The sequence below is a fragment of the Homo sapiens genome, chromosome 1 (genome assembly GCF_000001405.40).
Source record: "Homo sapiens chromosome 1, GRCh38.p14 Primary Assembly".
Classification (NCBI taxonomy): domain Eukaryota; kingdom Metazoa; phylum Chordata; class Mammalia; order Primates; family Hominidae; genus Homo; species Homo sapiens.
In genome coordinates this window covers 2,143,770-2,169,490 of record NC_000001.11, presented here as the reverse complement: position 1 = coordinate 2,169,490, position 25,721 = coordinate 2,143,770, and the positions used below count along the sequence as shown (strand labels likewise).

The 25,721-nt window shown below is 54.4% G+C and overlaps 1 protein-coding gene across 35 annotated transcripts in view; it reads right to left on the bottom strand.

Annotated features, from left to right (window-relative positions):
• PRKCZ (protein kinase C zeta) overlaps positions 1-25,721 on the bottom strand; it is a 136,892-nt gene that overhangs the window by 15,905 nt on the left and 95,266 nt on the right. For 28 of the 35 annotated variants that reach the window (XR_007061965.1, XR_007061966.1, NR_146911.2 and 25 more), the window contains 5 exons: positions 25,150-25,281; positions 23,383-23,464; positions 20,567-20,619; positions 18,513-18,701; positions 13,399-13,496 (listed from right to left, as the gene is read on the bottom strand). Coding sequence is in view for 32 of the 35 variants with exons in the window: in XM_047425255.1 (XP_047281211.1) it covers positions 13,399-13,496; positions 18,513-18,701; positions 20,567-20,619; positions 23,383-23,464; positions 25,150-25,281 (554 nt within the window). In the remaining 3 variants the exon portion in view is untranslated. Of the gene's footprint in view, positions 1-40; positions 1,201-12,161; positions 12,299-13,398; positions 13,497-18,512; positions 18,702-20,566; positions 20,620-23,185; positions 23,465-23,979; positions 24,105-25,149; positions 25,282-25,721 lie in introns of those variants that run through there. The other 7 variants (NM_001350806.2, NM_001350805.2, XM_011541775.4 and 4 more) reach the window with 6 other exon arrangements.

The following is a 25,721-nucleotide window of genomic DNA, read 5'->3' as shown; positions in this document are numbered from 1 at the left end:
CAGTCACCTCGGCAGACGGCGGCCTCCTTAGACAGAAGCCCCACAGAAGCGGCCTTCGTGGGCCCGAACCCTCCCGCAGGTTCAGTCTTGCAAAGAGCAAAGAGCAGCAGGAGCACCCTGGCAGCAGAGAGGGGCTGGTGGGGACGGGCTGCGGGGCCGCTCGTGAAGGGTGCAGGTGAGGGAGTCATGCGGGGGCCTCGCCGGCCTTCACTCTTGGCCACTGTGTGTGGACTTGGGAAGTGTGGGTGGGCCCCGGAATGAAGGAGGTGGCCCGTCACCAGGTGGGAGTGGAGGTGGCTTGGACCAGGGCTGGGGGCTGGGACAGGATCTGCTGGGGGCTGGAGCGAGGCAGTTTCTTGCATGGGGACAGCACCGCAGGTCACGGGTGGGGTGGCCTCAAGGCCTGATTTCATTGCTGCAAGGCTGAGGAGTCCACCGGCCCTCCAAGGGAACAAGCTGGGGTCAGGGAGAAGCCAGGTGGGAAGTGGCATCCCGGTTTCGCAGACATGATCGTATGATTTTAAAAGATCCGCAGATGTCATCAGGACCACGCAGGCCCTTCCCGTCTCAGGGACTGGGCCACATGGTTTCTCTTCCTAATAAGATCTTTTCCTACATTTCATGAGACTCAATTTTCAAAATTAAATTCTCATACAATCTCCCAGAAATACCCTGTGGCGGGTTTTTTTAGGTCAGCGGCTCCTCTGGCACCTGAATTGTTTATTTGCTTCCGACTGGTGGCTGCTCCTGGCTGCCCCTCGTGGAGCGGGGAGTGAAGGAGGGAAGCGTGTGGTGACTCTGCCCGTTTCCTTCGATCCCACGCAAGCTCCCACACCACCGCCACTGTTACGCCTCAAGGCACCTGTCCCTGCTCCTGCCCTCCACAAGCTCCCAGAATTAAGCCAGAGAGGACAGAGGCCAGTTTACACAGGGCAGGTGAACTGGCTGCAAATCATCTGTGAAGTTTCTGATTGGAAACAAACTCCTAAAAATCGAAAGAGCCCTGGGCCCCAAGTGAGGAGCTGGAGAGACGTCCACGTGGCCAGTCGGGCACCCTGAAGAATAAGCCGTGCCTTTGGGGAGCGGCTGGGGAAGGCTCGTTCCTCGGCTTTTGTTGTCTCCCCTGCCTCCAACGGATGTGCCTGGAAATTCTCTGGTAACCTGGCCCTTGTCCTTGGGGACTCGCTGGTCCACTGCTCCCTGTTTTGTAAATAAAGTTTTATTGGAACGAGGCTATGCTCACTGGTGCATCTATTTTCTATGTCTGCTTTCCAGCCACCGTGGCAGAGGGAGTTGCTAACAGAGACCCTGTGGCCGCAAAGCCAAAAATGTCTACTCTTGGGCCCTTCAAGAAAAAGTTTGCCAATCCCCGGTATAAACAAAATAGCAATGACAGAAAGAGCAGCTCTGAGGGTGCCCTCGATGTGCAGGAACGTCCTCAGTGCACCCGTGGAGGGACTCGTTCAGTAACGTCAACCCCACGGAACGAAGCTCCATGAAGGCCTCCAACCCCTGGAGGACACCCACGACCTAAGAGTCGGTCAGAAAACGTTAAGAAAGAATTTATTCAAAACCCTTAGAGTGCCTGGGCGTGGTGGCTCACGAGGCCTGTAATCCCAGCATTCTGGGAGGCCAAGGCAAGCAGATCACCTGAGGTCAGGAGTTCGAGACCATCCTGGCCAACATGGTGAAACCTCATCTCTACTAAAGATACAAAAATGACCCAGGGCTGGTGGTGTGCACCTGTAATCTCAGCTACTCGGGAGGCTGAGGGCAGGAGAATCGCCTGAACCCAGGAGGCACAGGCTGCAGTGAGCTGAGATTGCGCCACTGCACTCCAGCCTGGGCGACAGAGCAAGACTCTGTCTCAAAGAATAAAATAAAAATACAAAAAACCACAAAAACCCTTAGGGTGACTTCACCGCACATTTTTTGCCACCAGGAGTTACACGCCCCAATGGGTGCTGGTCCCTTCCACCTGTCCCCCCGAGAGGAGCCACGTTCACCCCAACAGTGCTGCTGCGGCGCCTGGGAAGGGCCTCCACGGCCTCTGTGGGTTCATCCTAACTTTAAGCTATCACGGCCCATAGGACGGGGACAAAGCCAATGCCATTTCCAGAGAAAATAAAGAAATACATGAATTCTAGAGAAAAGCATCAATACAATGCCTCAGGAGGCTGAGAGAATTTGGGGGACATTTAAACACTTAGAGAGGTAGAGGCGGAGGCCGCTTCCCCTTCTTCTCCAGAGAAAAGCCAATCACGGGAACTGTGCTGAAAGCCAGTTCTCTCTGCCCAAGGCCTAGGACCCAGGCAGCTTGCTGAGGAAGGAATTTATTTAATTTGCAACTGCTCAAGCTGCAATGATGGTGGGGTTTTTTTGTCTACAGAAAAACCTTAATGCTACTTTTGACATTTCTTCAGAGCAAAAACCCACCAGGACAATCTGGTGTCAATTCACTCTAAGGCGACTCTGCGTGACACAAGCTGAGCTGGCTGCTGACAAGATGCCTGGGACCATGGCTGAGCATGCTCCGAGCCCACTCCTCTCCTCACGCTGGTGGTGTGCACCTGTAATCCACATGGGCTCGGCCCACTTGGGTGCCCCACAGGCGCTGTCCTGCATAGAGGCTCTCAGGCAGGGGCGCAAGGCCAGGCCAGGGGCGTGTGTGGCTTCACCCGTAGCCCCTCAGTGACACACACAGTCCTGACCCCAAGGGATGCTGGGAAGCACAGCCTGGGGGTGGGGGTGGGGGGCTGAAGGTGCCCCTCCATGTCCTGGTAGCCACACTCGCCATGTCGTGGCCTGGGGGGGGCTGAGGCTGCCCCTCCGTGTCCTGGTAGCCACACTCGCCATGTCGTGGCCTGGGGGAGGGGGCTGAGGCTGCCCCTCCGTGTCCTGGTAGCCACACTCGCCATGTTGTGGCCTGGAGGCGCTGGGGATGCCCCTCCCTGCTCCCTGTCCTGGCATTAACGCTCCTCTCATGTTTGCAAGGGGAGAGGAGCAAGCAGAGCCCAGATGGGAGGCGGGAGGCGGGAGTCATGAGACACGTGCCCTCGGGGCTGTTTTTCTGAGACAAGATCTCACTCTGTCACTCAGGCTGGAGTGCAGTGGTGTGATCATGGCTCACTGCAGCCTCGACCTCCCAGGCTCAGGCAATCCTCCGGCTTCAGCCTCCCGAGGAGCTGGGACCACATGCTTGCACCACCACCGCCAGCTAATTTTTAAATTTTTTGTAGAGAAAGGGTCTCGAGATATTTCCCAGGCTGGTCTTGAACCCCTGGCCTCAAGTGATCCTCCGGCCTCAGCCTCCCAAAGGGCTGGGATTACAGGTGTGAGCCACTGCACATGCCTGTCCATGATACTTAATCAAATACACAAACGTGAAGAACGCCAGCAAAAATGGATTCATCAACAACCAAAGACAAAGTGCAGCTCTCAGGAACCAGGCGAGACGCAGACCGCAGCCGGATCCAGTCCCTGACCCTGCCCTGGAACCGGCACCATCCAACAGACATGGGAAATGGAGGGACAGTGGCCGCAGGGGGATGCTGGAAGCTCACGAAACCTCCTAGGGGGCGGCCGGGGGCTGAGGGAAGCTCACAAAACCTCCTAGGAGGTGGGCCCTGTCCTTGGTGCCGCCCCCTCCTCGCCACTCCCCCCACCCCTTCCAGGAATGCAAGGTGCCCGGCTCAGAGGGAGGAACCACAGCCCTCTCCTGGAGGCACAGGAGACGCTGCCCTGAGAGTCAAGAATTAACCAGATGGGTCCGGGCGGGCCACCACCATGTGTGTACAGAAAGTTCTGGTGGAACACGGCCACACGCGTCCCTTCACGCAGTGTCTAAGGCTGCTTCTGTTTTAGAACGCATAGTTGCCACAGAGGCCGCATGGCCCACAAAGGTGGAAATATTTACTGCCTGACCCTTTAAGACAACCTTTGCTGACCGCTGGTGTGGCCCTCAGTAAGCGTCAGTCTCCAAGTCCCTCTGTGTTAACGCACTTGACCCCATCACCAGGAAGTAAGTTCAGCTCTCGCCATTTTACAGATGGGGAAGCCGAGGCACAGACAGGTTAGGGGACGTTCTCCGGCTCACACAGCTCCTGGCTTGTCAGACCCAACATCAGATGACTCGGGCGGGCCCAGAACCCTCACTTGGAAACCCCACTTCCAGGTCCTGTCCCCACCTCACAGCGGACATCACAGCGGTGACAGCACCGTCATTACAGGGCACGCTGGAAAATCAGATTCCTGACTCGGAGAGCAGGACGGACATTAAAGCTCTGAGGAAGACACCAGCAGATGAGGAAAGGCGGTAAAGCTGAATCCACAGAAGGATTTTACTTCGTCCAAAGAAATCTACTGGTGGGGATGCTGGCAGGCCTCGGATTTCTCCATCAAAGATAAAAGGCCAGAAAGTGCCCAGGAAATGCACTCGAGCACTGGAGGGCAGTGTGTCCCAGCGACAATGGGGCTCACGTGCAAAGGCAAACACGGGTGTCCTCAACATGAAAGGACGCATGGGAGGCAGCCCCTCACCTTCCTGGAGCCAGGAGACACGGCCTGGGGTGAAGTTGAGCAGAGGAGAAGGCAAGGCAGGGTGCAGCCGTGGGACTGGGTGAGAACACCCAGCCTCGGCAGGGTAAAGCTCACAACATCACGAAAGCCAGGGCGGAGCGAGGCAGCTGCCCTCCACGACACCCAAGGCCCGGCAATCGCACAGGGATCCCGCCAAGAGGTAATAACGCAATTTAGAATGTTCCCGGGAATTGAAAAATTAGGAAAATTTAAAAATCCAATGAAGCTTGCACAAGAAAGGGAAGCTAGAGATCAGACGCCAGAGTGTGCAGGGAACGCTCATGGTTTTAGGCTGCCTCGGCATCCATTCTGGATCTAAGCTGGACTTTCTCCCACCAGAAGCAGGGCTGTCGCCCTGACAGTTTCCAGTTCCACATCCCCCATTCCTCGAGCTGGCCCATCCAGACACCCACCCTATGCAACTGCCCCCTGGTGACTTCCCTGCAGCCCCACTGATACCACACCCAACATGGACTGTGCAGCCACACTGCAGAGTCCCCCGACAGTCACAGTGTGGCCCCACGGAGCTCAGGCCTGCTTGCTTTAAGTCCATCAGTTAAAACTTCCCATGGGAAACCTGTGTGCAGAACACCCTGGACCCAATAAAGGGTCCCTGTCTCTCTTTACGCTCCCTGGCCTCCCAGCAGGTTGTGTACCCCCAAGGCCTGTGGGTGACAAAAGGTGTGTTTCCATCCTGTGTCTCCCTTGATCACTGGAGCAGTAGCTCTGTGTCCTGAAGATTCTAAACTAAAACAATATGAATATCAACCAAAAAAAATCCTAAATAAAATATCAGCAAATTGAATTCAGAAGCACATTAACAGAGTAGCACACTAAGACAGGGCACGGTTTTCCCCAGGAATCTAAGGATGGTTCAATACCAGCAGCTACATTACGATGACACCATTCATTCCAGGAGGCCCTAAGGAGTAAAAATCGTAACAATGATCTCCACAAATGGCAAGGAGGCCCCTGCACAACTTGCAGTGTTCTTCTTTTTTTTTTCTTTTTTTTGAGATGGAGTCTCGCTCTCTCGCCCAGGTTGGAGTGCAGTGGTGCAATCTCCGTTCACTGCAAGCTCCGCCTCCCGGGTTCACGCCATTCTCCTGCCTCAGCCTCCCAAGTAGCTGAGACTACAGGCACCCACCACCACACCTGGCTAATTTTTTTTTTTTTTTGTATTTTTAGTAGAGACGGGGCTTCACTGTGTTAGCGAGGATGGTCTTGATCTCCTGACCTCGTGATCTACCCGCCTCGGCCTCCCAGAGTGCTGGGATTACAGGCGTGAGCCACCGCACCCGGCCTCAGTGTTTTTTCTTGATAGCAAAACAGAAATGGGTGGAAAGTCCCTTAATAGGACAAGTCACACCTCTGCATGCAGTTATCGGTCATCTTCTCTCAGCTTCACGCTGCTGCTCAGCCTTTCTAGAACCTTCTCCCAGTGGCTGGGGGCTGAGAGGCTGTATGTATCATTGCCAGGGCCTTTGCCAGCAGGTGTCCTCAGAGACCAGATGATGGGCCCAGGAACTGGGAGGGTCCGTTCCCGTCTCCAACAGCTCAGGCAGGGACAGCTCCTCTGTGGGCTCCAGAACCCAGTTCCACGGCTGCAGGCAGAGCCCCTGTCTCTCCTCTCCCCTGTGGCCCTCCCAACACCCTTTGCACATGCCAGGGCAAATGCTGCCTGCCCGAGATGGGTAAATGCTTCCGTTCTGCCTTGAGGATGGCACTGCGCTTCCGGTGCAAAGTGTTCCAGCTGGGGTCAGGAATAGGACAGGGCCGTCCAGTGTCAACGTCACCCCAGTGAGGCAGGTGCTGGCCACTGTCACCAGAGAGGAAGATGAACAGAGACGGCACGACCTGGTTGCAGCGGCTGAGGTGGGTGATGCTGCCCCACCTGCAGATGCTAACCCTGTGCATCCAAAGCCCCAGAAAACCACCTGAAAGTTACTACAAGGAAGAACTCAGAAGCCATGAAAGTTACTACAAGGAAGAGAACTCAGAAGCCATGAAAGTTACTACAAGGAAGAGAACTCAGAAGCCATGGGGCCCACAGTTACCACGCAGAGACCAAGCTGCCTGCTGCTGGATGCTCTGAGAGAAGAAAAAATACCTCGTTTATAACAGAAACGAGATGAAACACTCAAGACAAAATTAAACAAGGAAGTGGCCAGGCACCGTGGCTCACGCCTGAAATGCCAGCACTCTGGGAAGCTGAGGTGGGAGAATCGTTTGAGCCCAGGAGTTTGAGACCAGATTGGGCAACATAGCAAGACCCCCATCTGTAAAAATAATAATAATAATAATTAGACAAGGAAGTGAAGAAAACCACATGAAGACTTCAAGAGTCTCCTGAAAGAGGATGTGAGTGAATGAAAAGGTAAACCGGGTTCCTGAATGGGAAGATCCAACACTTAGAAGGATGTCAATTTCGCCCCAGGTAATGTGTGAACTTAACAAATCCCAATGAAAATGCCAGTTTCGGGCCAGGCCCAGTGGCTTACACCTGTAATCCCAGCACTTTGGGAGGCCCAGGCAGGTGGATCACTTGAGGTTGGGAGTTTGAGACCAGCCTGGCCAACAGGGTGAAACCCCGTCTCTACTAAAACTACAAAGATTAGCTGGGTGTGGTGGCAGGGGCCTGTATTCCCAGCTACTCGGGGGGTTGAGGCATGAGAATTCCTCGAACCCAGGGGGCGGAGGTTGCAGTGAGCCAAGATTGCGCCACTGCACTCCGGCCTGGGTGACAGAGCAAGACCCCTTCTCAAAGAAAAGAAAAGAAAATCCCAGTTTCTTTTTCTTTCTGGAGGCAGACGGGTTGATTATAAAGTCCACATGGAAAAATAAACAAGAGAAAAGGAAAAACGAGGCAAAACTGTCTGGATGGTGACGCTGGTTAGTCAAGGGTCTTTGGAGTGCGGACGAAGGTTCTTTCCTGCACGTTAAAATGGGATACAAGTTTATAAAGAGGCTCTTGTTTTATGTGGTCTCTGTCGTTATCTAGTAGTTAAGCAGCAAAGGCACAATTTCAGGACCGGTCCTGAAAGTTCCTTCAACTAAGGAGACTCCAGGTGGCTCCAGGGCTGCCACCCCTATCCCTGCTCATCCTGGGAACCATGCAGGGCGCAGTGGCATGGGACGTTCGGGTCTGGATGGAGAAGGGGAGATGCCATGACCTCATCTCTGCTCACTACTAGCAAAATCATCTCCAAGCCTGCAGTGGAGGTCCCCCGGTCCTAACGTGACCCCGAATGGCAATGACACCTGCCCCCTGACCTGTTCTAAGAGCGGCCAGTGCCTCCCGATTAGAACTACAGACAACGCATCCCTTTCTCCCGTGTTCTGCACAGTCCTGTGTGGCCTGTGACACCACATCAGGAAACAGCAGGGCCCCCTGTACACTGCAGGTGTGTCCCAAAGCCCATGTCCTGGGGGTCCCCGAGGGCCCCTCACTGCCCAGGGCTCTGGGAGGATGCATGCGCAGCTGTCCGCAGTGTTCCCGAAGAGTGCAGGACGCCCTCGCAATGCAAAAGGCAAACCAAGCCCCTGGCTCCTGCCAGGCCCCTGATGCTGGGAAGAGCCCCTTCTCCCGTGCACAGCCTTGTGGGGGCCACAGGCCCAAGCGTCCTGCTCCGGAAGTGCTAGGGTTTAGGGTGGCACTTTTACCATTTTAGGCAACCCCGATGAAAAGTGAGCAAATCAGGGGGCCGCTGAGCCGTCACCGTGTGTCGGCAGAACAAAGGCTGAGGCGGCTGCGCCCACGCTGGGCCCTACGGGTGTCAGTCAGGATCTCTCCTTCTGTTCTGAGCTCCCATGACTCCAGCACACGGATGGGTTTTGAAAGGGAGGTGACTCATGTTCCCCAAGAAGAGGCACCTGCCCTTCCCAAGGTCGCGGCCGAGGCTGTCCTTGCTGTGGCACCCACTGAGCCCTTCCCTCTACTGCCTCCACCCCGACGGCGGCGCCTCCTCCTGCAGCCCTGAGGAGGCAGCACCCCAGGGTCAGACCCCGTCACACCCTCACCTCTTTCTCACACACCCACAACCACAATCACCCCCGGCGGGGCGGGGCGTCTCCATCCCAGGCCACAGCACCCCCGAGTCCTCCACGTCCAGGCTGGCTCCGCTCTGTGCCTGTCTGGCCAGCACTGCCCTGACTTCTGCGAACCGGGGTGACTCCCCCACATGGGGACAGGCCCCTCCTCCCCACCCCCTAAGGCTTCCCTCCAGGCCATGACAGGCCCAGCAGGTCCCTCTGGCTTCTGCGGCCCAGATCCTACTCCTCACACGAGTGCCTGCCCAACACCAGCACTGCACTGAGAATCCCTGGGGCCTCCGCATCCCAGGGCCTCTTGGCCAAGTCCAGCTTCGAAAGCCCCTGGCACCTTCAGGCCTGGTTCTCTTCTGTCCCTGACACACACCATTGCCCTCGTCCTTCCCACAGGCCTGTCCCCCATGAGCCCCTCCTACGTGACCCAACCCTTGCCTGCCCCCCTCTCCACGGAGTCCCACTCTGCTCCCTGCGGACCCTCCCCGGGTGCCACGCCTCCTGACGCTGGTGACCAGTTCCAGGGACGTCACTCTCTGCTGTTAGTAAAGCTGTCTCCCTCTCCAGAGCTTCGGGCAGGTTTCAAAGCATAACTGACACACACACACACACACACACACACACACACACGCACACTGCTGGGTGAAGTGCTTTTCATGTCTAGAAGTCAGTTTGACCAAGAAGAGCTTACTCAAGTGTCTCAGTCAGTGCACGGCCTGAGAAGCGCTTCCACAGATAAGCAAAGGTGTGTGTTTGTTCTTTTTAAAGAAACATTGAGTGTGAATGAATGTAAAATAATCAACCGTGGCAAACAGTAAGAGATTTTATTTTAGAACAGCGAGTGAATGGGCGTATTTTAAGGGTAGTTTGCTCACCTACCATCTGAGATCACCGTGCCTTAGTGAGAAAGTGTCCTCCGACTCCAGTTGAATGGGGCGGGGGACGCTGAAAGTAGTCATTTCAGCTAAATCTCTAGTTACCTGGTTTTCCTGAAATAGCTTAAACTGAAGCGATTTCTCGTTTTGGAGACTTTATGGCTCATTTCAATTTTGGCTGCTGTCTGGAAAAGGTGGGCTGTCTGTGTAGATATGGGGTATGGTTTGTCCATAAAGCAGGTGCTTATTGTGTCTTAAAACTGCGAATGAATTGTTTCTCTCCATCTGGACACACGAGGTGAGACTAATGTTGAACTGTAACATTCAGGAATTCCCTGTAGCCGCCCAGTGGACACGAACATGGCCGGCCAGAAGAGGCAAGACCAGATTTGGGGTGGAAAGAAAGCAATTCTGATTCTTCCCCACTCACAGACCCTTTATGGGAACCAAACTTGTGTGGAAACCTCTGCAGTTTCATCGGCCAGGTTCCCCCTGGATATGGCCCGGGAGCTGTGAGGCCGCCCAGAGCGAAGGAGTGTCCTGTTCTGCGTGTTATTCACCTGGCCCTCAGCAAGGGGCCCACGCAAAACCTCAGCTGGATGTTCCAGCAGAACCAACGCACAAAGAGGAAGTCCTCATAAAGCCTGCAGTCACCTCCAGTGACCAGGGAGCAGAGGCGGCACAGCCGAGCACACCCACCTGGGCCAGGCCAGACTTTTCCGCCACCCGGACGCGTGGCCGCCTTGCCGATGTTGGCTTTGCTTCACGTGGGTGTCTGGTGCTGTGTGGTCAGTAAGAATTTGTGGGCAGTTTTCACAGCCCCCCAGCTATTGGACTAAGGCAGCTGCCGGTCCTCCCCCCAACCCGGAGCTCACCCCGTTTCTACTAAAAATACAAAAAATTAGCCAGGTGTAGTGGCAGGCGCCTGTAGTCCCAGCTACTCAGGAGGCTGAGGCAGGAGAATGGCGTGAACCAGGGAGGTGGAAGTTGCAGTGAGCCGAGATCGTGCCACTGCACTCCAGCCTGGGTGACAGAGCAAGACTCCGTCTCAAAAAAAAAAAAGGCAAAAAAATCAGACATGCATAGGAATTATTCCCAACTGTGAATGCCGAATGCTCCCACAGGACAGTGATTGGTGCCGCTGCGGGGATCCCACAGACACCCCACAGACGACAATTCTTTAAGTTCAGGTTTACGCATCTGGGAACTTGTGACTTGACAGAAGAGTCCAAAGACACAAGTGCAGAAGGGGCTGAGCTTTGGGCCACTCAGGGGAAGTGAGGGTGGGATATCGGACCCCTTATACATCTACATCCCTACAAGTTCACATATGAAGAAGAACCAAAGCAAAACAAAACCCTTCTTGGAACCTCACCATTTAGGAAGTGTGGGGGGCCGGGCTGCCTTCCCCTGGGCGTATTCCCAAATCGCAAGGGATGGCAGTCAGGGCGGAAAGAGGCCTGGAAAAGCGCAATGGGAATGCACAAAGGGAGGCATTGACTCACTCCGGGAAGCAGGGGAGCAGAAGGAAAGGGGACAGAGCCGTCAGGCGCAGGCGGTGCGGGCGAGGGCGCCACGCTGAAGCACACGATGGGGCACTGGGGCCTGGTCACCACAAGCCTCGTCCACACGCACAGGAAGCTTGGAATTTACCCCAGAAGCAACTGGGGAGGAGGAATCAGAGGAGCTTTGAGGCAGGAAAAAGACTTCAGATCTGTGTTTCTCAAATATGGCTCAGGCCCAACATGGGGAAGCCAACACTGGGGAGCCCTGGGGTCAGGTGGGGAGGGTGGGGGACCCTGAAACACACTTAGGAGGCGTAAGCAGCCAGAAAACAGGAACCCTTGACCAGGACGGCACCGCACGTAGAGCAGGTCGGGGAACGGCCGGGTCACGCCGGCTCTTCCGACAGACAGAGGTGGCTGCCAAGCACAGGCAAGAGCAGGACCCTGCGGTCAGGAGAGCCAAGAGTGCAGCGGAGGAGAGCAAGTCGCCAGATGTACAGCTAAGAACCGAGCAGCAGAGGGTTGCACCCAGGGCCTAGGACCGCTGTGCTTAGGAAGCCTGGCCCGCAAAGCTGGCCCGGAGCTGGGGCTGGGAACGTGAACTGCAAACAGTTCCCTACACGGATATAACATGCTTCTGCATGACCGCCAGGCAGAGTGGTGGACACCTGTAATCCCAGCACTTTGGGAGGCTGAGGCAGGAGCCCAGGAGTTTGAGACCAGCCTGGGGCGACAGAGCAAGACCCTATCTTTATTTAAAAAAAAAAAAAAAAAAACTCTGGAGGCGGGGCTCAGTCACTCATGCCTGTAATCCCAACACTTTGGGAGGCTGCAGAGGGCAGATGGCTTGAGGTCAGGAGTTCGAGACCCGCCTGGCCAACACAGAGTACTAAAAATACAAAAATTAGCCAGGTGTGGTGGCAGGTGCTTGTAATCCCAGCTACTCAGGAGGCTGAGGCAGGAGAATTGCTTGAACCCAGGAGGTGGTGACTGCAGTGAGCCAAGATGTTGCCACTGCACTCCAGCCTGGGTGATAGAGCGAGACTCCATCTCAAAAACAAGAAAAGCACATTAAAAAAAAAAAGCTTTGGAATAAGAGCTGCTTGCTGTGCCCAAACTGTGTGTGCCTGAACAGGATGCCTTATGCTCGTGATGGTGAATTCAACGGTCACCTTGACTGGGCACGGGACGCCCTAGTAGCTGGCTGTACATGACTTCCGGGCATGCCTGTTGAGGGGGCTTCTGGAAGAGTAAGCAGACGGCCCTCCCTGAAGTAGACTGGCATCATCCAGGCCCCTGGGGACGTGAAGAGAACAAGAAGGAGGAGGAAGGCTGCGTTTCCCTGACTACCGAGCTATCCACCTTCTGGCCCCCTTGCTCCTAGCTCTGAGGCCTTCAGACCCGGACTGGAAGCGACCCCATCAGCTCCTGGCTCTCAGGCCTTCAAGCTGTGCCACTGGCTCTCCTGGGCCTCCAGCCTGCAGATGGCGGATTATAGGATTTCTCAGCCTCCATAATCCCATGAACCAGTATCTTATAATAAATCTCTTTACACACACACACACACGTGCACACAACTGGTTCTGTTTCTCAGGAGAACCCTGACTAACGCAATGCTGAACACCTGCTCTCCACTGGGAGTCTGGAATTTTGGTTCGTGTGCAGCCTGCATGACCAGCCCTTGACAAAAACCATGAGTTGTCACAATTCATTGCTGGAGGAACTGGGAGAGGGCTCTTGGGAGCTTGTGACTGGTTTCTTCTGGAATTTTCCCCATGTGCCTTTTTCCTTGGCCAAGTCTCCTTTATCTCCCCAGTGCAGTATGCCAGCTGTGGCCCCCAGTGCGGCCATGATTGATCCCAGCAGTCCTCCTAGCCAATCATCGAACCTGGGGATGGTCTTGAGGACTCAATGCAGAACATACTTAATAACTCTTCAAATAAACAAATCAGGTAGGTCAAAGTCAACTGGCCCCCAAAATTTTAAACAGGGCATACATTTAATATCCTAGATCATCAGCTTTCAAATGTATTCAAAGCCACAGAATTCCAGTATATATAAAGCTTGAAGGTGAAGCTGTACATATTTTAATAAGCACAGAAATCCACCTCTTTTGCTTACTTTTGTAGCCCCAGCACCTGACCCAATGCCTGCACTCAGTGGGATACCTCCAGTAAGTATTTCGTAAATGGAATTAAATAACTTCAGATCATGAAATGTACTTAATATGACACCAACCAAGGAGAACAACAAAGAGAGTCTGCTGGCCTGAAAACACCCGTACAGCAACTGGGAGAACCTTACAGGTGACAGTTGACACATCACACCAGACTTAGCTTCTGTGCAGTTCACATCTGAAATCTGCAGAATATCAGAAATACCCTTCTTTTTCTTACCGACTTGTCGTCTGGAAGCAGGAGTGTAATCCGACCAGGAAGGGGTTGCTGGATGCCTGCTCAAACACGTGCTTCTCTGTCTGTACCCAGTCAATATCCTGAAATAGAAACCAGGGAGTGGTAATGAGGCTCCCGAATGCTCCTCACAGGCATCCTGGGCAAGGGGGAGGCAAGGGAGGAGTCTCTTTCCTCCGCTTTCAGGAAGACAATGCAGACAGGAAAAGAAAACACCCATTAGGAACTGCATTACCACCATTGTCACCATCCACCCCACCTCTACCACCACCACCACCATCATCATCATTGTCACTGTCATCATCACCACCGTCACACCACTGTCACCATACACCCTACCCCCACCCCCCACTATCATCGTCACTGTCACCATTACCGTCATCATTGTCACCATCCCTCCCACCTCCACCCACCACCATCATTGTTGCTGTCACCATCACCTTCACCACCACTGTCATCATCACCGTCACTGTCATCATCACCACCACCGTCATCACCATCTGCATCATCACTGTCATCACCATCACCACCACCACCATCACCATTGGCACCATCTACCCCCACCACCATCACTGTCGCTGTTACCATCACCTTCATCACCACCGTCATCATCACCATCACCACCACCATCATCACCATCACAACCGTCACTGTCATCACCACTGCCATCATCACCGTCATCACCATCTCCATCATCACCACTGTCATCACCATCATCACCGTCATCACCACCATTGTCATCACCACTACCATCATCACTGTCATCACCACCATTGTCATCACCACTACCATCATCATCACCACCACCGTCATCCTCAATGTCATCACTACCACCACCATCACAGTCATCGCCATCACCATCATCACCGCCATCATCAACATCTTCATCACCACCACCACGTCATCACCACTACCTCACCATCATCACCATCATCACCATCATCGTCACCATCATTGTCACCATCATCATCACCATCATCTTCACCACGATCACCAAAGCTACCAGCTCTGGTTGTATGCTGGCCTCTGGTGGTATACTGGCCTCTGGCCTCCAGGCTTTGCCCTAACAGTTCCAGGAGGCAGGTATTATTATCTCCAGTTAGGACACAAGGAAATTGAGGTGGAGGGCTAAGCAGATTCCCCAAGGTCCCAGCGCTACCGAGTGATAAGCCCACACCCATCACCAGAGCACTAGCTTCAGCCATAGGACTGTCACCCTCCCAATTCATGCTGCAGTTCAGCAAAATGCTGCAAGGTCAAAGTCAACTTTAGAGTGACAAAGATCCAACAGCTTGGTCTCATCTTGACCCCAGAAAGTAGAGCTGGACGAAGTTCTCAAGCCTTCCTAGGTCAACCCCTTGTCTTCGGGGTTAGAAAAATGACAGTGAAAGAAATGCGTCAAAATAGGCTGGATCACAGGGGTGCGATTACTGCTCACTGCAGCCTCGACCTCTGGAGCTCCAGCGATCCTCCCACCTCAGCCTCCAGAGGAGCTGGGACTACAGATACATGCCACACTTGGCAATTTTATTTTTTGTAGAGGCAGGGTCTTACTGTGTTGCCTGCCCCCACTCCCGGAAGTTTCGTGGAAACAAATCAACAAACCATTAGTGAGTATCTATTTAGCCTCTGAGACTGTGTCATTCCTCCTCAGCGCCCTCCTCCTCCTCGAGGCTTGGTCCTCGGCCACCCTCCCTTCTCTTCGGAGGCAGATCCAATGGAGTGGCTTCGAGTCTCATCTTTCCACGCCGAGAGCTCCCAGCCCGGCCTCTCCCTGAGCTGCAGACCTGCCCCCCGACGGCTGCTCAACATGTGCACCCGGGTATCTCACGCCACCCCAGGCCACAAGCCGAGCTCCTCGCCAGCCCGCATCTCCTCCCATCTCCAGTGGCTGAAGACCTAGTGGGTCGGCGGTGACTCCTCCACCCCTCACCTGCCACCACCCGTCCCCCAGTGGCCCTCACCAGCAGCACCCACCCACTGTGGCCCCGCAGGGACGTCGGCGTTGGCATCATGACCCACATATCACTCAGCACCCAAACTGAGTGGAACCTCCTGGACACAGCACTGCTGAGTTCAAGGCCCTGCGTGGGGCTGGCGCTGCAGAATCGGTGGGAAGGGGCTTGCCAGTGACTCCTGGGGGAACAAGAGGCAAGCCTGGCCCCAGAGAGTGCAGTCTTTTTGTGGGGAGAAAGAAATTTCTAGAAACCATCCAAGCATTCAACAACTCCTGCAATCAGGCTCTTCTCGAAAGACAACCCCAGAGTCCCCACCTCGGCATCCCGGCCCACAGAGGATGATTTCAAGACAGAACAAAACCGCAGCAGCGACTCTTCCAAATGTCTTTTCTCAGGGTCCCGCAAACCTGCTCTCATACGTGGCATTAACTTTCCAGCTGACCGGGACGTGCTGCAAAGGGGGCTGGAATCCTCCTGTGCTGCCGCTGGCCAGCAGCGGGGCTGTCAGCAGGGCACCACACCTCTTGGGGCCTCTGTTCCTCGGCGCAGGGCATGGACGCTGCCACCCACTTTTGAGTTCTGCACCCAGGGATGAGGGGCCAGTTGGACAGCCTGTGCACTGCACAGACACGCCCTGCTGGGAGGTAGTAGAGGCTCAGCCCCAGCCCCAGCTCTGCCCTCCCAGCCCCGAGCATGGCTGGCGAGGAGGGACCCCCTCTGTGGCCCATCGGGGCTCGACGAGCAGCCAGTTGCCTTCTGTGCTAGCAGCACTTGGTGACAACAGCATTACTGCCACCCACACGTTGGCCTTTTATCTAATCCTGAGAGACGCAACCTGCATTCAGGAATGAAAGCAAAAGACCAAAAATACCAGAAGCCAACAGGTGCATGAAAGATGCTGAACACTGTCAGTCATCAGAGACATGGGAGTCAAAGCCACCACTGCACACCTGCCAGGATAGCGATCATCACAATCACACGCGTCACTGAGGACCTGCAGAAACAGGCCCGTGTGGTGTTGGCGGGGAGGTGAAACGGCGCGGCTGCGTGGGAAGCAGCCTGGCAGGTCCCCATCAGTTGAACAGAGAACTACCATGTGACCCAGCAACTGTACTGCTAGGTTTGCACTCAAAAGAACTGGAAATAGACTCAAACAGATTCTTGTACGCGAACCTTCACAGTGGCACCACTCACAACAGCCAAGGGTGGGAACACTATAATGCCCCTTGGCAGGTGCACGCACAAACGTGGGGCCTCCACTGGACAACGGAACATTACCCGGCCAGGCAGAGAGAGGAAGGCCTGAGCGAGCGGCCACATGGACGGACACTGGAGAAGCCAGACACCAAAAGCTCACACACAACTCCGTTCTGTCAAGCGTGCAGAAGACGGAAGTCCGCAGAGGAAGAAGGCAGATTGGAGGCCATGGGGCTGACGCAGAGCAGAAGCAGGGAGTGGGTATGGGGTCTCCTTTTGGGGTGAGGAAAATGTTCTGGAATCAGAGAGGTGATAGCTGCTCAACTCTGTATCTCAATATGCTAAAAGCCGCCTAACTGTACACTTTGTTTGCATATTTTATTATTTTTTAAAGACAGAGTCTCATTTGGTCGCCCAGACTGGAGTGCAGTAGCGTGATCTCGGCTCACTGCAATCTCCGCCTCCCTGGTTCAAGCGATTCTCCTGTCTCAGCCTCTGAGTAGCTGGGATTAGAGGTGTGCGCCACCACACCTGGCTAATTTTTGTATTTTTAGTAGAGTTGGGGTTTCACCATATTGTTCAGGCTGGTCTTGAACTCCTGACCTCAGGTAATCCACCTGTCTCAGCCTCCCAAAGTGCTGGGATTATAGGTGTGAGCCACCGCGCCCGGCCCTAACTGTACACTTTAAAATGGCAAATTCTATGTCATGTGTATTTTACTTTAATTAAAAGAAAAAGGTCTATGAAGTCAGAATTAAGATTTCAACAAACAGGCCAGGCATAGTGACTCATGCCTGTAATCCCAGCACTCTAGCAGGCTGAGGCGGGCAGAGTGCATGAGCGCAGGAATTCTAGACCAGCCTGGGCAATATAGTGGAACCCCGTCTCTACAAAAAACACAAAAAATAGCTGGGCATGGTGGTGCATGCCTGTAGTCCTGGTTCCTCTGGAGGCTGAGGCAAGAGGATCACCTCAGCCTAGCAGGAGGTGGAGGCTGCAGGAGGAGGTGGAGGCTGCAGGAGGTGAACCGTGATCATGCTCTGCCCTCCAGCCTGGGTAACAGAATGAGACACTGCCTCTACAAAAAATACAAAAATTATACAGCTGGGGGTGGTGGCTCATGCCTGTAGTCCCAACACTCCAGAGGCTGAAGTGGGAGGATCACCTGAGCTGGGGACTTTGAGGCTATAGTGGGCTGTGATCAAGCCACTCCAGTCTGGGTGACAGAGTAAGACCGTTTCCAAAAAAAAAGATTTCAACAAATAAACCATTGATCCTATAATCAACAAACTTCTCCCCTAGAAACAGCTGGTGTGGGAAGATCTGCTACACAGAGCCACGGCAGCTCAGCATGTACTGCAAAGCTGGGGCCTTGTGCAGGACGGAGCAGGGCAGTGCCTCTGGGCAGCTTCCTGTCCCACCCCATCACCCGTCCAGTTCAGCTCAACCCCAGAGATTTCCTAACAAGGGTGATGACATCCTAAAACTCAACCGCAGTCTGCTGGAAGGCAACGTATCAGTGGTTGGCCATACATGAGAAGGTTGCAGAGACCACGATACCCATCTTCACCTTTTCTAAGCTTAGACACGTGAGTGCTCTCGTGGTGGTCCCCTCACTGCCTGCAGTGTGCAGTGCACTAACAGCCGTACGGGCTTGCAGCCTGGGAGCAGGAGCTGCACTGTGCATCTTGGCTGTGGAGTTGGCTGTGCTGTTTGGGTTTGTGGAGTGCACACTGTGATGTTCACACAACAGTGCCATTACCTAACCAGGCACTTTCCAGAACACATCCTGGTCATTACACGATGCATGACTATTGATTTTGCACAAACTCCGTCAACGTGAGGCTAGGTCTCTCGTGCATGGATTAATTCCGCTAAAGCCCGGAGGAGGCCCCAGGGCAGCGCGTTCCCGGGCCCCCGGGCCCCATGAGAAGCGGCACCTACCTCGTCATCATGCACCAGCTCTTTCTTCACCACTTTCATGGCGTAAATTTGGTCATTCTTCTTCAACCGCACCAGGAGAACCTTGGCGTAGCTCCCGCGCCCGATGACTCTGATTAGGTCAAAGTCCTGCAGCCCAAGCCCCTGAGAGATTTTGATTCCATCCATCCCATCGATAACTGGCTTAAGGTCCTAGGGAGGGAGAACAAGACCCCAGAAAGTGAGAGGGGGGTTCCCGGGAGACTCAGAGGACCACGCATCACTCATGCGGTCCCAACAGAGACCTGCTCCTCAGAGCCCAGGGCCTCATGATTCGAGTCTCAGTTCTGCGTCCCACATATCCCACCCCCAAACTCCCATCTAAACTGGGGCATGAAAGGTAAGAATTTAAGGCTGTGTGCTTCTGAGGAAGGTGCTAGAAAGCTAGAAGCTGTTCGTTCCACAGACCATGGCTCTGGTCACAGCTGCAGGTGGGAGGGACCCCCAGGCCCTCAGCCCTATCAGTGGGGCTGAAGAGGTGGCCACAGGGACATGTGGCCCAGGGCCTGGGCCCATCCTTCCTGATCAGTGCCCTCCCTCAGGGGAAGGAAGGTAAAGCGAATGCAGCTAATGCCTGCCAAGAGCTCCCAAACCGGCAGGCACACATTATTAGAAATAATTATTAGAAATACCCAGGAGAAAGGCGCTCCGAGGAAGAACAGAAGCCTCTGCCTCCCGCAAGCTACACCTGGCAAGGAGGTCGGGGTGGAGGAGGCGGTTCCTTGGGAGGTGCTGTTCTGTGCGGCAAAATGGATTCTGCTTTTTTTTTTTTTTTTTTTTTGAGACGGAGTCTGGCTCTGTCGCCCAGGCTGGAGTGCAGTGGCACGATCTCGACTCACTACAAGCTCCACCTCCCGGGTTCACGCCATTCTCCTGCCTCAGCCTCCCCAGTAGCTGGGACTACAGGCGCCCGCCACCACGCCCAGCTTTTTTTTTTTTTGTATTTTTAGTAGAGACGGGGTTTCACCGTGTTAGCCAGGATGGTCTCCATCTCCTGACCTCGTGATCTGCCCGCCTCAGCTTCCCAAAGTGCTGGGATTACAGGCGTGAGCCACCGCGCCCAGCCGGATTCTGCTTTTTTTGAGACAGACTCTTCCTCTGTCGCCCAGGCTGGAGTGCAGTGGTGCGATCTCAGCTCACTGCAGCCTCCACCTCCCAGGCTCAGGCGATCCTCCCACCTCAGCCTCCCAAGCAGCTAGGACCACAGGCCCGTGCCACCATGCCCAGCTAATTATTTTGTATTTATTTTTGTAGGAACAGGGTCTCGCTATGCTGCCCAGGCTGTTCTCGAGCTCCTGGACTCAAGCGATGTGCGCAGCCTCCCAAAATGCTGGGATTGGAGGTGTGAGTCGCCGTGCTCAGCCTCAGATTCTGCTTTCTAAGTGCCCCGGCCTCCCTCCAGACACAGGATGGCCAGGAAGGAGCACGAGTTGTGAGGGTGACACTTGTTGGTGCTCTGGAAAGGAGTGGGCTTCGCTAGTGCAGTCCTTCCCTGGGTTTTACGAGCAGAGGCTGAGAACGCAGCAAGCTCTTCTGTTCCCTTCTCAGGGTTTATGGTGCAGAGCTGGCCACAGACGTGAGGCTCAGTTGAGCCTCTTGGCTCAAGTTGGGGAAGGACATGAAAGGGCTTCAGAGGGTTTGCCAGGATGGCCAAATGAGGCAACACAATTCGGAAGGCATGGTGCAGACACAACTTGATAAAAATTGCAGCTCAAAAGCCAGCCCCTGGGCCACTGTACCACCTGAATGGAGAGGATGTGGGGCACGGCTTCCCCCGCAGGGTGTGGTCCCCAGACCACCTGCGGGGACAGCTGCCTGCAGGTATTCATCAAGGACATGCCTGAAGTAAGACCCAAGAATAAGGACTTCCTTCTAGACATCCACACCCGTGAAGATTAGTTAGCAACACCCCGGACCATGTCTATTTCACATCTAGATTTCCGTGACTACCCCAGAGACAGGCTCACAGACTTTCCAGAGGACGTCGGAAATGGCAGCGAGCTGCTCCACACACTCACCTCCGAGTCGTCTTTAATGCTGTCATGCTTCCGGGATGAGGAAATGTAAGCAACTGGTGAGAGAGGGAGGAAGGAAGGGGCGTTACGGTGTGGTCAGGAACGCACTGGGAACACAGCGACCCTGTGGACCTTGCTCCTCTGCAGGGTGACGGTGAAGGGTGAATCCACACAGCAGCCATGTCTGATTCTAATTTAGAGTCTTCTGAAAATGCAGTTTCCTGGGCCCCACTCACACCTGCCGACTCTGACCATGGGACCTGGGGATGTACATTCGTGACATACGTCCCCAGGGGTCCATCTGCAAATAATTCGTCACCGGATTTTGGTGTCTAGTGAATGGGTGGGTAGGGGCAGGAGTGGATGTCTGGTGGATGGATGGAGGATGACTAGATGGGGGATGAATGGAGGCCTGGATAGAAGACGGATAGATGGAGAGGTCAGTGCACAATGGATGGATAGATGGAGAGGTCAGTGGACAATAGATGGATGGATAGATGGAGAGGTTAGTGGACAATAGATGGATGGATAGACGGAGAGGTCAGTGGACAATAGGTGGATAGATGGAGAGGTCAGTGGACAGTGGATGGACAGATGGAGAGGTCAGTGGACAATAGATGGATGGATAGATGGAGAGGTCAGTGGACAATAGATGGATAGATGGAGAGGTCAGTGGACAACAGATAGATGGATAGACGGAGAGGTCAGTGGACAACAGACGGAAAGATGGAGAGGTCAGTGGACAACAGACAGATGGGTGGACAGGTCAGTGGACAACAGACAGATGGATAGATGGAGACGTCAGTGGACAATAGATGGATGGATAGATGGAGAGGTCAGTAGACAATAGATGGATGGATAGATGGAGAGGTCAGTGGACAGTGGATGGATAGATGGAGAGGTCAGTGGACAATAGATGGATGGATAGATGGAGAGGTCAGTGGACAATAGATGGATAGATGGAGAGGTCAGTGGACAATAGATAGATGGATAGACGGAGAGGTCAGTGGACAACAGACGGAAAGATGGAGAGGTCAGTGGACTACAGACAGATGGGTGGACAGGTCAGTGGACAACAGATAGATGGACAGATGGAGACGTCAGTGGACAATAGATGGATGGATAGATGGAGAGGTCAGTGGACAATGGATGGATAGATGGAGAGGTCAGTGGACAGTGGATGGATAGATGGAGAGGTCAGTGGACAACAGACAGATGGGTGGACAGGTCAGTGGACAACAGATAGATGGACAGATGGAGACGTCAGTGGACAATAGATGGATGGATAGATGGAGAGGTCAGTGGACAATAGCTGGATAGATGGAAAGGTCAGTGGACAATAGACGGAAAGATGGAGAGGTCAGTGGACAACAGACAGATGGGTGGAGAGGTCAGTGGACAACAGATAGATGAACAGATGGAGACGTCAGTGGACAACAGATGTGTGGATAGATGGAGACGTCAGTGGACAAGATAGATGGATAGATGGAGAGGTCAGTGGACAACAGATAGATGGAAGGAGAGGTCAGTGAACAATAGATGGATAGATAGAGAGGTCAGTGGACAATAGATGGATAGATGGAGAGGTCAGTGGACAACAGATGGAAAGATGGAGAGGTCAGTGGACAACAGATAGATGGGTGGAGAGGTCAGTGGACAACAGACAGATGGATAGATGGAGACGTCAGTGGACAAAAGATGGATGGATAGATGGAGAGGTCAGTGGACAATAGACGGTTGGATGGAGAGGTCAGTGGACAATAGACGGATAGACGGAGAGGTCAGTGGACAATAGATGGATAGATGGAGAGGTCAGTGGACAATAGATACATGGATAGATGGAGAGGTCAGTGGACAACAGATGAACGAATGGAAGATAGCTGGAGGATGGGTGGGTGGAGGATGGCTGGCTGGCTGGCTGGATGACGAGATGGATGGATCGTGGATAGATGGATAGGTGGTGGATGGATGGAGAATGGGCGGGTGGAGGATGGCTGGTTGGCTGGATGAGGGCTGGTTGGTTGGCTAGGTGGGTGAATGGATGATGTACGGATGAATATCTGTATAGAGGATAGGTGGGTGGAGGAGCAGGTGGGCAGGCAGTTGTTTGTGAGGCATCTCTTTTGCGTGAGGCACTGTGTGAACTAAGTGCTTTATGTTCTGTGGTCTCATAAGTGCTTTATGTTCTGTGGTCTCCCAATGAGACAGAACTCACATGCATCAAGTGAAAGTGAGGCTCTCACACCCCCGTGCAGAGGTGCAGGTGTGGAGGCTCAAACCTGGGCTGTAAGTCCAACTGGTGTTTGAGATCTCTCTCTGAATGCTTCTTAGCAATAAAACAAGTCCTTCCCCACAACAAACAAAACCTCACAAAAATCCAAGGACCATGCCACTGCCACGCTGTGTGTGCAGCAGCCACCTCGCCAGGCTTTCCCCAGATAGGGCTCAGCTCTGTGCAGCAGCCAGATTGTGGGAGGTGCCCGGCCATGGTGGCTGCTGCACTAAGTGCCTTCGAGAACTCCCGGAGCTGGTTAGAGGAAGAGGCTCTGCACCCCTGGGCAACCACAACAGCACTTCACGGAGGCATCCCTGCCCAGCAGCCTCCAGGGAGGGCCAGCTCACCCTGCTCATCTCTGCCGGGGATTGAGAGGAGGCCCTGGAGAGCCTCATCCCCAGCCCCAGGGAAGGGTGGCCAGGCTTGAAGACAATGACCCCTGCAGAGCAGATGGGACTGAGAAAGGACTCGTGGCTAGAAGGCAGAGGTGAGCAGGGTGAGGTGATGCCCAGGCTCTACCCGGCCGGAAGAAAGCAGCGCCTACTTCCATCTGTCTCCTCGGAAGGAAGGTCGGCGTCCTCGTTCTTGTCGTCTACTGGAGGCTCTTGGGAAGGCATGACAGAATCCTGCCGGAGAGACACAGAGATGGCAGCATGACCAAGTGCTAGAGCAGGTGTTACAATGTAGCTTCTGTAAACACTTTGTGACTTTTTAAAATTAAGAACTTTTTTTTACAGACAGGGTCACAGTCTGTCATCATCCAGGCTGGAGAGCAGTGGCGCGATCACGGCTCACTGCAGCTTCAACCTCCTGAGCTCGAGCAATCCTCCCGCCTCAGCTTCCAGAGCAGCGGGCACTACAGGTGCGCACCACCATGCCTGGCTAATTTTTGTATTTTTTTTGTAGAGATGGGGTCTCACCATATTGCTCAGGCTGGTCTTGAACTCCTGGCCTCAAGTGATCTTCCCACCTTGGCCTCCCAAAGTGTTGGGATTACAGGTGTGAGCCTCTGCACCTGGCCACTTCAAGACTATTTATGATTTACATATTTACACATTACAATGGGTATACTGTAATATAGTATATAAAAATCTAATTGTTATGCTATTTTACTGAATTAGATAAAGAACATAAACATTACCTATGATTCTGCAGACGGAGGTGGCCACTCGGTACTGCAGGCCATGACCTTTCCACCAAGTGCTTTATACAACGGGATATTTTGCACAATGCTTGGTCATCTCCCCTGTCCCAAAGCTGCATCCTGTCAGTAACCAAGCATCAGGGGGCCATTCTAAGGGCCTCTGGGTTCCGCCTGCAGATATGTCATAATGGAGCCACCAGTACTGGTGGTCAGCTGGGTGGCAGGCTCTGGCCTCCCTCCGCCTCTAGCTGACCACATTTCTGGGGCCGGTCTCATTTGCTTACGCTAAAGTGGACCTATGAGGTCAAAGGGCATTACAGGCTTTTTGGCAGATGCAGCTGAAGGACCTCTGGAAGGACTGTGCCAACGCATGCACCAGCCTGCGTGGTCCCCCATCCCTGTGGCTGGTGATCCTGGGGTGACACCCTGATCCAGACTCTGTCTTTATCCCGTAACAGAGGAGAGGGCACGTCACTGCCACAGGCGCCTTTCCTCCCATGCCACAGCAAGATGCAGACAAGCCACCCTCCCCAGACACACCCACTGCACGCTGCAGCAGGGCCCAGGGAGTTGAATGTTCAGTCCAGGCCTCACCCCCGTGGTTCAGTGGGATGCAGGGGGCCACACGGAAATGCCAGAGGCAGCCTTCAATAAGCAAAAGTCAATAAGGCCCCCAAAGGCCTGGATGCTTCAAGTCCAAGCACTCGGGGATGGCGGAGGGAAGGTGCCGCCCTCATCACAGGCTGGGCATGGCTTCCCAGGGGGGATGCCAGGGAGAGGCTCCAGATGTTCGGAGCCTCAGCGTGCCCAATGCTACTAGGTCAGACCTGGCTTTCACCTCCACAGTCCTTAAGAGCTGGTTCAAGACTGGGGTATGAATGAACCTTACCTCCGACCCACTGAGCAGAGCGTACCACGTCCTACCTGAGCCTGCTGCCTGAGCCTCATGCCCCAATGAGCAGAGTGTGCCGGGGGCTTGTGGGGGCTCAGGAAGATGGGTCCTATCCAAGACTGCCGCCTGAGTCTCACGCTGCAGCCCAGAGCTAGGACGGCACCACGGCCCCTCTTGAAGAACCCAGGGTCACCAAGGTCTGCTTGGACAATGGGCTGGCTGCCACGCCCCGACCCCGCCCGTGCCCCCCGGGCCTCCCCAGCCCTGCCACTCACCATATGCTTCCTGCAGGTCAGCGGGACGAGGCCGTGGCAGCGCTTATGGACCAGCAGTTTGCAGTTGATGCACCTGTAGCCTTGCCTCGCGAGGCCCCATATCCTCTCGCTGCACTGACCGCAGTACGCTCTCTGCAGGTGGGAACAGAGCGTCAGGCCCAGGCCACACTGAGGGGCCAGCGGAGAGGACAGGCAGGGCCTTCCACACCTATACCTTCTCAAAAGAGGACACTGAGCCGGGCAACAGGTGGCCCCGGCACCTTGTCCCTTCCGGGCGCCAGGCTTGCCCAAGCTTGAGAGCCTCCTCTTGGGTCTATCCCAAGGTTGGGGGAACCAGTGGCCCCAAGGAGAGGCCTGGAACCCTGCTCTGCATGAGGGGACACAGGGGAGGTGCCATCGGGCAGGGGTGACGAGGTGCTGCTTCAGGCAAGGCCCCGTGGCTTGCAGGGGCTGGGGGGCTGCAGCTCCTGCTGCGCTCTGCGTAGAGCAGCCTGGGGTCCCGTCTAGGGCTAAGCAGAGTGTGTGGGGGTACCCCCTGCCTGACCTTCATTCAAACAGAACCTCCTCCTGAC